The sequence below is a fragment of the Homo sapiens genome, chromosome 2 (genome assembly GCF_000001405.40).
Source record: "Homo sapiens chromosome 2, GRCh38.p14 Primary Assembly".
NCBI lineage: Eukaryota > Metazoa > Chordata > Mammalia > Primates > Hominidae > Homo > Homo sapiens.
Window position 1 is genome coordinate 225,697,906 of NC_000002.12, and position 14,784 is coordinate 225,712,689.

Below are 14,784 nucleotides of genomic sequence, written 5' to 3' on the forward strand. Positions count from 1 at the left end.
CTCACATCTGTAGTCCCAGCACTTTGGGAGGCTGAGGCGGGAGAATTGCTTGAACCCATGAGTTTGAGACCACACTGGGCAATATAGAGAGACCTCATCTCTACCAAAATTTTTTTTAAAAAATTAGCTGGGCATGGTGGTATATGCTTGTAGTCCCAACTACTGGGGAGACTGAGGTGGGAGGATCACTTGAGCCCAGGAGGTTGAGGCTGCTGTGAGCTGTGATTGCATCATCGTATTCTTAGCCTGGGTGAGGGTGAGACCTTGTCTAAAACAAGACAAAACTAAAAAGAATTTTAGAAGAGATATAGAAACAGCTGACATTGTTCTAAGAAACTACTAGCACAGTGCAAAAGAAATATGCTTTCATTCCATTTTTTTCTTCTGTATTCACTCTTTCTTTTTTGCTAGGTGGCATGCATGCAGTGGTTTCATGGAGACCATACAATGCTTGAGATGATTGAGAAAAAGCGTTGCTTGTGCAAGGAAATAAAGGCTAGACAGAAAACGGAAAAGGGCCTTTGCAAACAGGATAGCATGCCTATCTTGCCCAGCTGGAAGAAGAATGCAGGTGCCAAGAAGTACAGCCCTCCACCGTATTCTAAACAGCAAACGGTATTCTGGGATACTGCCATATGAGTGTGTGCAGGATGGTGTGAGCTCTACATTTCTTAATATGAAGAGGGAGGTCGACTCGGTCATATGATAATGAACTGTTACATATCTTTTCTGTGGGAGTGGAATGCCACGGGAAGCTGTGCCTATTCGTGGCAAGTTCAAGATAAAATGCATATGTCCTTGCAATGAAGGCACACTTATTTATCCCGGATTATTTTGAATCCAGAAGATATTAAAATGTAAATATTTTACTAGTTTATGGGTGACATCTGAAATAATACACATTATACGTATATAAATTACAGAAATATCAAGAGTTTACTATATGATATAATTTCAGTATTAACTGGTTTGTTATCTCTTTTATATGTAATCCCTTGATGCCTTTTATTATTAATTTTTGCATTTAAAATGTTTTTTTTCCCTTGCCCACATTTGGTTTCTGTACAAGAGCTCACAACTATAAATCATGTTCAATCACGTAATATATGATCTGGTGCTAGTAACGTAGAAGTTGAATATCATATTTGTTAAGAGCATCTGTGCTTTTTAAGTTTCAAGGGTTTGACAGGAAATGAATGCAAATGTGATGCTTAATTTGGACGTCCAAGTTACATTGACAACAATATTTTTGCTACATTGGCTTTATAAGAATTTCTCTTTAGCATCCTCTGGCAATGGTTAGGCTAACCATTAGTCTGACTTAGTAATAACTAAGCAATGGTTAGTCAGACTCCAGAGAAAGTTACTAGGATATATTGGACATCCCAGCAGAAAACATTTCCTTCAGAAATGACTTTAGGGACATGTGTCCTTGCATCATTGATCTGATTGGAGGAGACCAGGGTTCACTGTGACAATGGAAGGAACAAGGAATTAATAGCTCAAGAGCATGACTGCTTTCAAGAAAGTGGGACCAGTGGCATTGTAGCCACCATAATCACTATATTTAAGTAACTTTTCATGTGTATGCTTGTTTCCCCAAGAAAATGAGAAATAAACATTCAACTAGACCAGTTTACATATTTTAATACACTAAATGCCAATCTTTCTAAAAGTTTAGATCTATTAATAAAATATGTATTTCTTGTTAATTTTTTCAAACTGGTTATCACCACATTTCTGGGTCATAATCTTCTGTATGTGATCATCACACCCATTCTTACTGATTATGACACCATGACCAAAGAATTATGATCATGTTTCATTTCATTTTGTTTCAAGAAAGAGACAGGAAATGCAGGGGATGAGGGATGGGGTGGATTCAATTTTATGTAGTGGTGAAATTTAAGTTAAAAAAATCATATATATCTTTTAAGAAGAACTTGTTAGTTGAATATAAATATTGCCACGAATGAATAAAAAAGAAACTATCGCATATATTTTGTATATTTAAATTACTATTTATGCCTCCTAAAATTGATAGTATGTGGTTCTTTGTTAACAATCAATTTAGTATTATATTTCTGAGAGAAAAGATGTGTTTTTGAAGTTATTGTTATAGCAGTTTTTCTTGTAAGGGTATTGACAGCAATAGTTCAGTGCTGCTCAATAAAACCAAATATAACAGGAGTTAGAGAATCTTTGTAATCTATATTGCTACAAACCTAGTAATGCTTTATCAGTAATAGTTTCTTTCAAAAGCCTTTTCAATGTTATAACATGATTTTCTAATGTTTTATAATTAATGTGTATTTTGATGTCCAATTCAAATTCTGAAAAAATAAGGAAAAAGGTAAGTGGGAGCAGTGTATGGTTGGTGTGTCTGTGAGCGTGCGTGCATGTGTGTGTGTGTGAGTGTGTGTGTACATGAACGAATACTCAGTGGGAGAACTGTATACATAAAACGCTTACTGAAGTTGCAGGTTCTGCTTGTATAATTGAGGTGGTAGAAAACCGGGATCACAAATGCAGGAAATTAGGAAGGGATCTTAAGTAGCTTAAATAAAACCCGCCAGCATGTTTCACCAGCTATAGATTATGTTTCAAACCAAATAATCTATGAAGCACAAATCTAAGGGTGATGAAAATGTGTTTAGATAAAATCAGAATGGAAATAAAATGTGTTTATGACCCAAGTTGTTATCCTGATTTAAGTTATTATGACCACATATACTCAAGCCTATCAGTCAGACACAAGATACTAATTCTCAGCATGTCTATGATTACGTATATATTCAGGCTCAGTATGGTGATGATTAACCCTCCCTTAAAATTTATATTTAGGGAACATCTTTCTGTGGGGAGATGCAAGTGTGTTTTTCAGATGCGTATCTTTCCCATATCACTCTGATTTAGGCAGAAAGTTTATTTAATGTTGGCCATTTGTCAAGAAGGAAACAAAAGTACTAAAATGATCTGTGTTGGATTAAACCATTCCTGTTTGTTCTATCAAACTTATGCTAGGGCCAGGTTTCATGCACTCCTTTTTCAAATGCATTATTTTCTGAGGCGGTAACTTGTTTGAAAATTTGACCTTAGGCAACCATTTTCATTTATTTCCGCAAATCTCTACTTAAGTGGAAAGTGACTGAAAGATCTGGAAAAGTGGCTTCACTGAGATTTGACTCAAGAACTGTTATTCTGTGCCTATACGATTGTCCACTGTGGCAATAATCATTCCATGATCAATTTCCTTTTTGTGTAGTGTTTCTCTAAATGGAGAAAAGGAGATCATTAGTATGTAGAGAAAAATAAGCTGACTCTCTGAAAGTAATCAACTGGGATACTTCAATATATTAATTTGGTCAGAATATAGCCTACAGATAGCCAGAACACTATGCCATGATAAAGCTCATATTTCTAGCAGTGCCAAAGAACAAATCATATCATGGCCTGGTTATCAGGTTGAAAGAGCTCATACTTATGAAAAATGGTCCTTTCACAGCAAATTTCATAGAAACAGAATTTTATTGGATGTCACAAGATGCTTTTATATGTGAAACACTCCTTAGCAGAGAAGATATAAATTTCTTTAGAATTGATGAAAAGAAAATATAAAAATCTGCATTTATTTCAATCGCAGAAGCCAGCATCCTCTGAGGTATAAGAGTAGTCTATTACATAAACACCGCTCACATCTCTCCCATGTTTATGCTACTGAAGCAAGCTTGGCGCCAAATGTGATGGATTTATGTAAATGAAGGTTAATACTCACCCATGTAAAATAATTAGAAAAGTAAAACAAAACGTCCGGAGATTTAAATTTGTAGTTTTAAAGTATTATATATTCAAATACATGCCAATTGTCTGGAGACAACTAGATACAACTTTACTTTCCAAAGTAGTGACAAAATTTTCTTTGAATGCTTCTAGAGAATAAAAGAATGTTTTTATTACTACATTTTGTTGGTAGGTCTTGCCTATACATGGAATTTAGTTTGATTCTTTTGAGCAAATCTAGTGACTACGTCAATAAAACTAAAGCCATTGGGTTATTATTTTAACTAATAAAATAAGACATCAACACAATGCACGTACAAATGCAATTTTAATATCACTTCCATGTTAAGACAAGTAGAAAAGAGCTTGTAAAATAACTACACTCACATGTGAAATTAAGAAACAATTCCTACGATTTAAGCAGTAAGTTATCCGAGATGAGAGGGAATTCACACTTGCAAAGAAATAGAAGTAGAATAGATAGCAATTCACAATTCATTGTGTCCCAAACTTAAGTGGAAATAAAAGAAAAATGGTACCTATAGCATTTAACATTATGTCACTACATCTTCCATGTATACAAAATAGACAGCTAATTGTAGAATGTGGACCATTTTTTACTAATCTGTTATTTAACAGTTGATTATTGAGCAAACTTATGTATCAGGCATTTAAAAATTCTAAAGCACTTGGTGTTAAACATTGAAAAAGATGTTGTCCCATCCTTCAAGGAGCTTAATTATGCAATCATCAATATTTTCAAAATAAAGCCAATTGTTTTTAAGAAGATATACAATTGTGTTTACATATGGCATTCTCTTTTTTTTCAGATCAAGTGTATAGTCAAGGTAAAATTCTAAACATACTAAACTTAATGTCTAAGTATAGAATATGTTTATGTGTAAGCCTCGATGTGTGCATATATAATATGTACTGCTGTCTATGTAAATCATTAAAAGGGTAACACATTTTGCCATGTTGGACTTGAACATTGTGACTTGGGGTTTGGATGATTTAAAACTCTTTGATATTTGGGTCAATTACATTGCAGCAAAATGTGTGTAATATGGAAAAAATGTCTTATTATATTTCCCTTTAAATATTATGAAGTTTCAAATTTAAGGGGAATTTTTTTAAAGAAATGCTGTTGGATTTGTCTCAACCAAACATGAAAATTCTTTTGAAGTGTTCAATTGTTCCCAAATATAACTGGGTTTGCCCACCCTAAAAGCATCTACATTTACACATGTATACACCCACGTACAGTATACATACTGTATATAATATATATGAAAATGTTTAGTATGCACTTCTTTTGATTGGAACTCCTTAAGTTAACATTTATAGTGTAGCAACTTGTGTAAAGTGCACTGTGATTATAAAAAACAAAGCACAGTAAAGTCACAGGTCTTGTTATCTTGCACTAAAAATGTGTTTACGTATTTAGCAGTTGTATGTTTACTTTCTTGCTCTTTCAGACAATTGAAACAAATAGCTATGAGAAGATGATATAAAAATAATATGTTTTTTAGTGGATAACGGCACTACATTTTTAAAAGACAGGGTTTTTAAAGAAAACCATTTAACATCCATTCCAATATAACATGTTTACCATATCTAAAAATTTGAATGTCATATTGCATTTTTCATAATTCATTAGAAATGTCAGGTATGTGCCTGAAAATTTGTGCAAATAAGCATTAGATAACAGATTTCTCTACTCATGTGTTATTAGCCATTTCTATATATATAATAATATAAACACTGATGTTTTAATGTCTCTTAATTTTTGTACTTGATTTTTTTAGGTAACATGTAATTATAAATGTACTTTGATACTACTAAAGTAACCAGATGTTGTTTGAAAATAAATTGTTTTCTTTAGTGCATTGACAATATTTTACAATACTTTTTGTGATTATTTATTTGTGCTCCCGTGTAATTATAATAAAAGCAATAGTTTAAATTAGTTGACTTTGTCGTTACTGGTATTTATTTATCAAGAAACAAAATAAGAACTTTTTCAAAGAAAAATACAACATTTTTCAATTTCTGCAGTTGACCATGAGATTGCATGTATTGTAGAAGCCTGATGCTGGTGAGTATTGAGGGTCTAGACTTTCTAATTTGTTCTGTGACCCCCCAGTTGCCCTTAATCACTGCTTGGCTTCTCCCTCAAGGTGATCCATTAAGTAAGAGGAACATTGACACTTCTCTTTCTTCCATATGTACCTAATTCCAGTTAAATGACTCAGAGTGTATCTAAGGTGTGCTGGTGGCATGAAAGAGAAAATTCTGGCAATCCTAGACCTGTGTATGTAGACAAGGTATTTATTCGAGGGGTGCTACTTAGCACATTCATTTATTCAGTCATACTTTTAGAGTTAACCTGGCTTAAATAAGGAGCAAGTCAGTATGTACAGTGTTGCTAGGATATCAATATCTAAAATGTCATCGAGCATGGTAAATATATGACAAGATTCTGGAGCTCAGTCAGTTTACAAAAAATGCCTGTAAAATAATGTAGAGACTTCTAATAGTTTCTAATGGCTACTTCATCAACCGCTTACATACTCTCTTTTATATCCAATCTCAACATAATTAATTATAACGTCATAATTTCTCACCAATTATTTCCATGTTCATTTCATAAAAAGAAAGAAATTTATTATCACTGTTTTGTCCCACCCTTCCAGCTACTCAAATGCTCAGTGTGCTACTCTACCTTTTGTTTGAACAAAAACTAACCTATCACCACCCCACCACCATCAACAGTCCAACCTTTCATCCATCTCAGCCCATGAAAAAAAAAGCTCCCCAATATTTGAAATTATTGGTTTCTTCCATTCTCCCAACCGCCATTACAAATCATTTTTTCCATCTCTGTGATCTCAGATTCTAATTAAATTATGTTGACACAATGATGTGAATGACTGATAAAACAATGTTCATCCTATAGTGATTTGTATTTGAGAAGATTCTTACTAACATGCATGAGTGAATATTAGAATGTCGGGCAATGTAACAAACCAGGAGATCGGAAGAAAATAACTTTAGAGAAAATTTTGCATAATATCATCTCACCTCATGTCTTGTAGAGTGGTGGTTCTCTCAAACCTTGCTGTGCAAAAAAAAAAAAAAAAAAAAAAAAAAAAAAAAAAACCTCACTTAGTTCTTAAAAACTCCCAATGTCCAGAAGGCTGCCTAGAGCAGTACACAGGTGCTGGCAGTTTTAAAAAAATCTAGATCAGTCCAATATGGAATCAAATTTGAGTATTAAAGCAAACTTCTCAAACTTGAATGTACTTCTCAAACTTGAATGTACATGCTTTATCACCTGAGGATCTTGTTGGCATATAGATTCTGATTTAGAAGAGTTTGAGAGTTGGAATCTGAAGCAAGATCTCAGGAGATGCTGATGCTGCCTGTCCATAGATCACCCTTTGAGCAGCAACTCTTTGGCAACTCGCTGCTCTGCCTATACTTAGGGAGCCTTGGTAGCCATTGCCTAGAGCACTGCCACTCAGAGCCTACTTCAGAGACCAACAGCACAGCATTATCTTGGGACTTGTTAGAATGAAAAACCTTCACCTTTATGCCAGATAGAACTTTAGGGCTGAGGCTCATGGATCCTGTTTCAGCAAGCCATACAGGTGATTCTTATGCCCAGCAAAGTTTGAGATGCATTGTCTTAGACCAATGTGGCTTTCAGTCATGGCAACACATTACATTCTTGGGAGATTTTTATCTAATGCCAATATCTGGGCCCCTCTCTCAGAGATTATGATTTTATTAGTCTGGGGTTAGGGCTAGACAACTTTTTCTTCTTTTTCTCCTCCACCTTTTTCTCTTTTCTTCTTTCTTTCTCAGAACCCCCTAGGGGATTAGAATATGAAGTTGGTACTGAGACAGCTATATTAGAGAATCAACTCTGTCCCATACATTGGAAATTGCATCATTTCCCCCAGAAATAACATTTCATCCACAGGGCCAAACTCAAGAATGCACCACCTCATAACCCTCCTCATCAAAATGACTTTCAGGTACTTCAGGGTAAAGAGTGGTGTGAAAAAAAAGTCCCAGCTTTTGGTTAAATCAACTCCTTGTGATTGGTACCCATCTCCCATTTTAGGAGGCCAATATTTTTCATGAGATCAGGCTTATATTAAAATTATTCTACATATTGCTTAGAAATTAGTGTCAAGGGCTCTGAACTGTTGATAATAGTATTAGGATTGTGTTATGTTTTTCCCCAGTTGGAATTAATGTACACCCTTCAAGCACCCTCCCCCACTACCTTGATACACAGTATTGTGCTCGGGTTTTCATTACAATGCCATCTGTCTTATAATAGTTATTTCTTTGGGAATTTGTCTTCTCTACTTACATGGTGAGTTCCAGAAAGAGAAGCTACATTTATTTGCTATAAATCTTGTATTCTACAAAGTGCCTGGCCAATTGCTCTGCACTTAAAACTATTAGAAAATGTTCATTTATTTAATTTATGTATTTATTCAACAAATACTAACTGAAGTCCACCTGTATACCAAGCACTGTTCTGGGCATAAAAGGTAAAACTCAGTATACTGGTAAAGCTTTGATGCTAGTTGATTTATATATTCTTTTGAGGTTATATTTTCTGCTCTTCTCTCTCATTATATGAAACAAATATTGGGTGAGATCCTGTGACACTTTATACACCAGAATTGTTATATATACATGTGAGTATTATTTAGGAAGTTTTATATCTATATATTTATTTAAACTCCGCTTTTTATCCAAATAAAGCAATTGTAATTAATGTGCAAATATAGCAAGGTGACATACATTAGAAATGTGTGAGAATTTTAACGAGAATGAAACACAAGTTAGAGCATGAGATAAAACCAATCAGGAATAATTTTAGTTCACAAAATGCATACAATGATACCCTAAGTGTCACTACTTATGGGTTTATAATTCATTTTAATAGTAAGACTAATAATAACAATAGTAAGACCGCTACAATTTATTTCTTACTTTATGCAAAACACTGAACTAAGTTTTTAAGACATCTTTTCAAATTCTTACCTCAACCCTATGAATATGTTCATTTTCTGGGTAAAGATGCTGAGGTTTAGAAAACTTTCCCAAACTAATACACAATAGTAATTGATTGTGGAAATTCAAACCAGGCTTATCTGAATCAAAAACCAAACCAATGTAACATAGACTCTCATTTAAATTAATTTGTATTAGTTTGCTATTCATCATATACAGATACTCAAAGACATTTTAATCACTATGCAGTTCCATGTAGCCTGAATGGAAGTGACCCATCTAACTTAGGTATATATACTCGTCACTGAAAAAGCAGTATTTTTCTCTACAATACAACAAACTTCATAGGTACTACAGATCAGTGTAGAGGACTTTATGCTTGCTAAAATCTTAGTCCTTAATAATTTCTTATCGATCTTCTAGCTGGTTTCAATGAAGAACAAATCAGTTTGCTAGGGTGAAATAGTAAGCTGGCTTTTAAATTGATTCTGCTTGTTGATTTTCCTTAGGGTAACTATTGCTGCCTTCTGGAGGTATTTGGTTTTAAAGAATGCATTAATCTAAATTTTTTTGTCTTTCTTTGTGAATATACCATATGATATCACGTTTATTAAGGAAAGGGAAAAAAGAAAGAGAGAGACTTGGTAGTAAGTTAAAATGTCCCATCCCGCTGGGCACTTGTGCCTCAATGCTCTAGCAATATTTTCTCACAAGGGTCCTTGAAAGGTGTTACTCATAACACTTCAATATAAAAAAATCCACACTTTTTAATTTTAATAGTTAAGAATTTTTTACATAAATATAAAGTTAACATATTAAACTACTTTATTTCATTCACTGAATAAATATTTCTTGAATACTTGTTGTAATACCAGCCATGGTGATCAGTAATCAGGCTATGGTCATGAATAAAAGACGGCAACCTCACTTATCTTTGAGCTTATATAATGGACATAATTATTTATATCAATGTTGAAGTTGGTAGCATCAACTTAACCCAACCTTCACCTTAAGGACTATAAGGTATGATGTTCAAGTGCTACTCAGATGTGGCAAAACTCGTAAGTATTCAAACGGCTGCAAGGAGCCTGCTCTGAGACTAGAAGATTATACAGTGCTAGTAGAGGCATTATTTTGCCCATTCTCCTCATTCCCTTGGGGTTTGACACCTGTTTGTCAGAGGTTACACACACAGACTTACTGCTTCCTTGGTAAACATATGCTTTTCCTTTGCAATAGGAAGACTATGAAGAAAATGACACAGAGGCCTGAAACCACTTTAGAGATCATTAGATAGCCACGAATATAATTCTCTCAAAATGGTCTGCTTGCCTGAGGATCCTCTAGACTTTTTCTGAAACTAGAATTCACATGTTTGTTCTACTCTAAAATTTTCTTGACTTCTCATAGCCTTCAAACGCCAATTACATTGTCCAAGTTCCAAACCATCCCGCTGTTGTTTACTGAAACCTATCAACCCAGTATCTTACATATAAGTCCCTAGAAACCCCTGCCTCCTCCCAGACTCCAGGATCACTCTTCAAAGGTCTCAAATTCAAATGATTGTATGCAAGAGAGGCAAGTTTCTGTCATCAAATATTGCAACAGTCATAAGCAAGGTAGAGATTGAAAAACTGGAAGATGAGGAGAGGGTAGCCTGCAATACAAACTTCAACATGAGGGTATGAAGTTTGCCGGGGAAAGACACAAGGGTAGGGATGTTATGAAGCTAAAAAATAAGATTAAGATTATCTAGTTCTGGAAAACGTAATTCATATCAAATATTGTTGGGTGGAATCTTTGAAAGAAGTTTACATCATTTTTATTTGAATGTGTAGACTCTTTTCAAATAAATATATGGACTTTGTAAAATACACCACTGAAGAACTTCATCAGAGTGGTTTAGAAAGGAAAGTAAGACAAGTCAAGACATAAAAATGAAGAAAAATTAGTACAAGGAAATAGTAAGGCCAAAAATTGATTGGCCACCTTATTTTCTGATGACTTCTCATAGATTTTTCTTTCTGCTTTATCAATGCATCATTCACTAGATCTAAGAAGGTGAGATGGGATACAAACAATGAATAGTCAACTATGCAAATACTTGAGGGAGTATTTTAGATATCTGGGGAATTGTAAAGTTTCTGAGATAAAGTACACTTGATGTGTTGGGGAACCATACAGGTCATCACAAAGATGAGGTCAGGGAGAGAGGCAGGGGCCAGATTATGTAGGCACTGTGGAGTTTATATACAGGCACTGTGGAAAACATTTTACTTATCTATAAAAACCAAAGCCATAGGTGAAGTTTAAGAGTTTATGGATCTACTAAAGAGGATATTCATTACCCCTCCCTTAACTGATCAACACATTTATTAATAAGTGTGGGAAGAAGACCAAGAATCACCAAACATTTGATGAAAACTAACAGTATGAATAAAAGGAAATTAAATAAAATAGGTAAGTAAAGGAAAAGATGTTTAATAAATTACAGTTAGATTGATTGCCAGAAGTGGGTTGAATGTGAAACTAATGAAGCTTAAATTTAATGGTCACACACATGTTAAAACTACTCTAAGATGAGGGGAGAGACCCTACTAATGTGTTCGTGTGTGGTCATATGATTTGGTAAAATTTGTAAAAGTAGGGCTATTTTGACTATGGTCAGTTGAGAGTGATACCTTTTTCTACTCTAAATTACTTTCCATCCTACTTCTTGTTTTGGGGGCTCTGGAATGGCTATGGGAATTTTGGGGATTTGGCTAAGAAGAACTTGGATTGGATATACATTTACTTTAGCAGGGTATTTTCATGTGGCTCACATAATTCATAATTTCATATTTTATTTTTTGGTTAAAAACATCCCTCTTTCATCTATATAAGCTTCAGTCCTCATAAAATTTGGAGTTGCCTCTCATTCTCATAGATATTCATAGATATCCAAAGGGATATAATTTCCATAAACTAAAACAAACTGCAAAGGGAAAAATAAATCAGAAAAAATAAAACTCATAAAATATGGACTAATTCAGCTGCCTGCCCTTCCCTCATCCCTTCAAACAAAAGAAAACAAACAAGAGAATATGTATAGTTAAAAGAGTAGAGCCATTTTACCCACCATTTCAGGGAAATATGATTTGGATATCTAGGAAACCCTTAGGTCCAAAGGCTATATTAAGCATCTTATATACATCACCAAAATAGTCTCATTTCCTGAATATGCTCATTTCCTTTACCATATGATTACTGCAATATTTATGAGAATTGATGAAATTAATCTACTTGGAAAGTTAAGCACATATGTTCACACAGAAATGACTAGGTAAGAAAGAGAGTTAAATATAACTTAAAATGATCAATGTACACCTCCTCAGCTCCAAAAGTTGCCCTTCGTTGCCTGCTGTATGAAAATCTAGCTGGGCCCTTTACATTAGTTTTTCTATATAGCTGGTATGATGTTAAGCTTTGTAAGCAGAGGGTGACAGAGCGACACTGCAGGAAGAAGGTCCTCTCTTCCTGGTTCTTTTTATCACCTACTTCTTACTCTTATTGTGCAGCTGCCAGCAGGATGTTTATGAGTCATTTGTAGTGTGCACCTCCATCTTATTTCAATGGAACCCCAAAGAGATATTTTTTGCTTTTTTAGGGACTATGAACCAGGTGTGTCCCAGGGAACCTAGAAAACATCTCTGCCATCCAGTTGGTCACAACCACATTTGTCTCCTGAGGTTGGATCCCTGCCTTGAGGAAGGGACTCTCACCTTCCATATATGTATTTCTCTTTTGAGCAATCTCCCCCAACCCTAGGGAAATGTTTAGGATTCTCTTTACTGCTTTTTAGATTTTCTCTATTAGAGTTAATAGCTCTTTACTTCAAATTTTTCCCATTCAAATTACTGTGTAGTTTTTGCCTCCTAGTTGAATTCTGACCAATACACTTTTTATTTTCTTTACGATTATCATTGTGTTTTTCATTTTTGTAAACAGTTTTATAAACTATTTCTACTATCCCCATAATATAAATTTGCATTTTATAAATCTTATAGTCACTTTACTATTGATGACAGCAAAGCATTGAAACTTGTGATAAACTTTTTGAGCCAAAATAAATATTGGTAGATTTTGGTCCTACTTACTTGTTAGATGTCTTAATACATCCTGTATATATTTTATTGGGGTATTCTTAATCTTTTGCTTTTAAATAAAAGACATTTGAAATTCGGCAAGTTCTCCAATTTTATTCCCCTCACTTTCAAGATTTTTGTTAATATTAAATAAAATTAAATTTAATGCATTTGATACTTTATAAAACTGAACACAGGTAAGAGAGTTGGTCTTGAGGTGGAAGAATGGCCTTATATCATCTGAAGTTGGAAAGAAAGAGCAAAGGGTAAAGATATGAAGAATTTTATTGAGAATGAGGCAGAATATTAGGTGAGTTTCTGTTCTATGTTCTTAATTATCCCCAAACAGAAAGATACAAGGTCGTCTGCTATCCAGAAAAGGTAGAAGACTTGATGAGAATGAGCACAACAAAGAGGGAGATGGCTATGGTTAAATAAAATATTTTCCAGTCTTCCTAAGAATGCTGTTTGTACCAGGATGCTGTTCTATAGTGTGCCTCAGCCCTCAGGGTGGGGCTGGTTAGGGAGAGCAGACTGCAGGACTGATCTGCTAGATGGTTATTACAATGGCTGAGTAGCAGTAGTTTAGACCTGAAAGAGATCAGAGACTAATCCTTTTTTAAAATTCATTTTTTCTCTTCTCTCTGTGTATATCACTGAATTGCATTTCCAGAATCATACTTGGATGTGGCCCTTGACTAAATTTAAAATGTGAATAGAGAAGATGAGCATCCATGCCAGCCCAGGCTATGGAAGCTACTTAGATGTGCTCTGTGGTGACTTTGACCTCTCCAAGCTGACTAGGGTGGGCTCCCTCAACTCCCACACTAGGCAACTTAGGAAGACGCATGCTGGAGATGGCATAGTATCCTTCCACTAGTTTCTCCATCAGTATATAAAACTGAGTTACCTCTTCCCCATCTGTGCACATTTATTTCACTTGGAGCTACCCTGGACTTTTACAGAAAGGGAAAATAATCTATTATATTGACTTGTTACATGTGTGAATCTATTTGTTGTACCATTGTCAGCCTAGGCTGCTACAAGATAACATAGACTGGGTGGCTTAAATAACAGAAATCTATTCCTAACCATTCTAGAGGCTGGGAAGTCCAAGATCAAAGCTGCCTGCTGATTCAGCTCCTGGTGAGGATCCTCTTTCTGGTTATACCCTCAGAAGGTGGAGAGGAAGGGAGAGGAAGCCAGCTCTCTAGTGTTTCTTCTAATAAGGGCACTGGTCCTATTATGAAGGCCCCACCCTCATGATGTAGTTTTCTCCCAAAGGCCCTATCACCAAATTCCATTGCATTGGGAACTAGGGTCTCAGCACATACATTTCAGAGGGCCACAAATATTCAGTTCATAGCTACCGTTCAACCCCCACCCTAACAAATATAACTGGCTTGGTCCATAGGAGGCAGTAATATGGTAAAACAGCTAAATATGTATTGTTTCCATTTTTCTATAAGAAATAACATTGTTTTCTGTCACTTTACATTATAAATGGTTATAGCAGATAAAAATGTATGAATGAATAAGTAATAAATTAGAGTAGAGTTTGTATTCTTCTGGAGAAAAGGCTCCATGATGATACCAAGAACTATACAATTATTGTTCTTTCTTATAAAATAAAATATTGTAAATATTTTACTACTTATAATGCATAAATACAGAATGTGAAAGTTAGCTGTTCTGATACCGTCTGGGTTTAAGCATATTATTTTCTAAAATATCAAATAGTATAATCACATTAATACAATGCATAAAACTTATTTTCCAGTGTAATGTTTCTCTCTGTGCAAGGGGCATCCAATAACTTTTTGGCCTCTCTCTCACTTGC

The 14,784-nt window shown here is 34.7% G+C and overlaps 1 protein-coding gene and 1 long non-coding RNA gene across 7 annotated transcripts in view; one reads left to right on the top strand and one right to left on the bottom strand.

Moving 5' to 3' along the window:
• NYAP2 (neuronal tyrosine-phosphorylated phosphoinositide-3-kinase adaptor 2) overlaps positions 1–5,749 on the top strand; it is a 305,716-nt gene extending 299,967 nt beyond the window's left edge. For all 3 annotated transcript variants that reach the window (XM_047445201.1, NM_001371273.1, XM_047445200.1), the window contains one exon: positions 412–5,749. In XM_047445201.1, the coding sequence (XP_047301157.1) occupies positions 412–639 (228 nt within the window). In that variant the 3' untranslated portion in view covers positions 640–5,749. The remainder of the gene's footprint in view (positions 1–411) is intronic.
• LOC105373914 (uncharacterized) overlaps positions 1–14,784 on the bottom strand; it is a 211,043-nt gene that overhangs the window by 17,357 nt on the left and 178,902 nt on the right. The gene's annotated exons all lie outside the window — the stretch shown is intronic.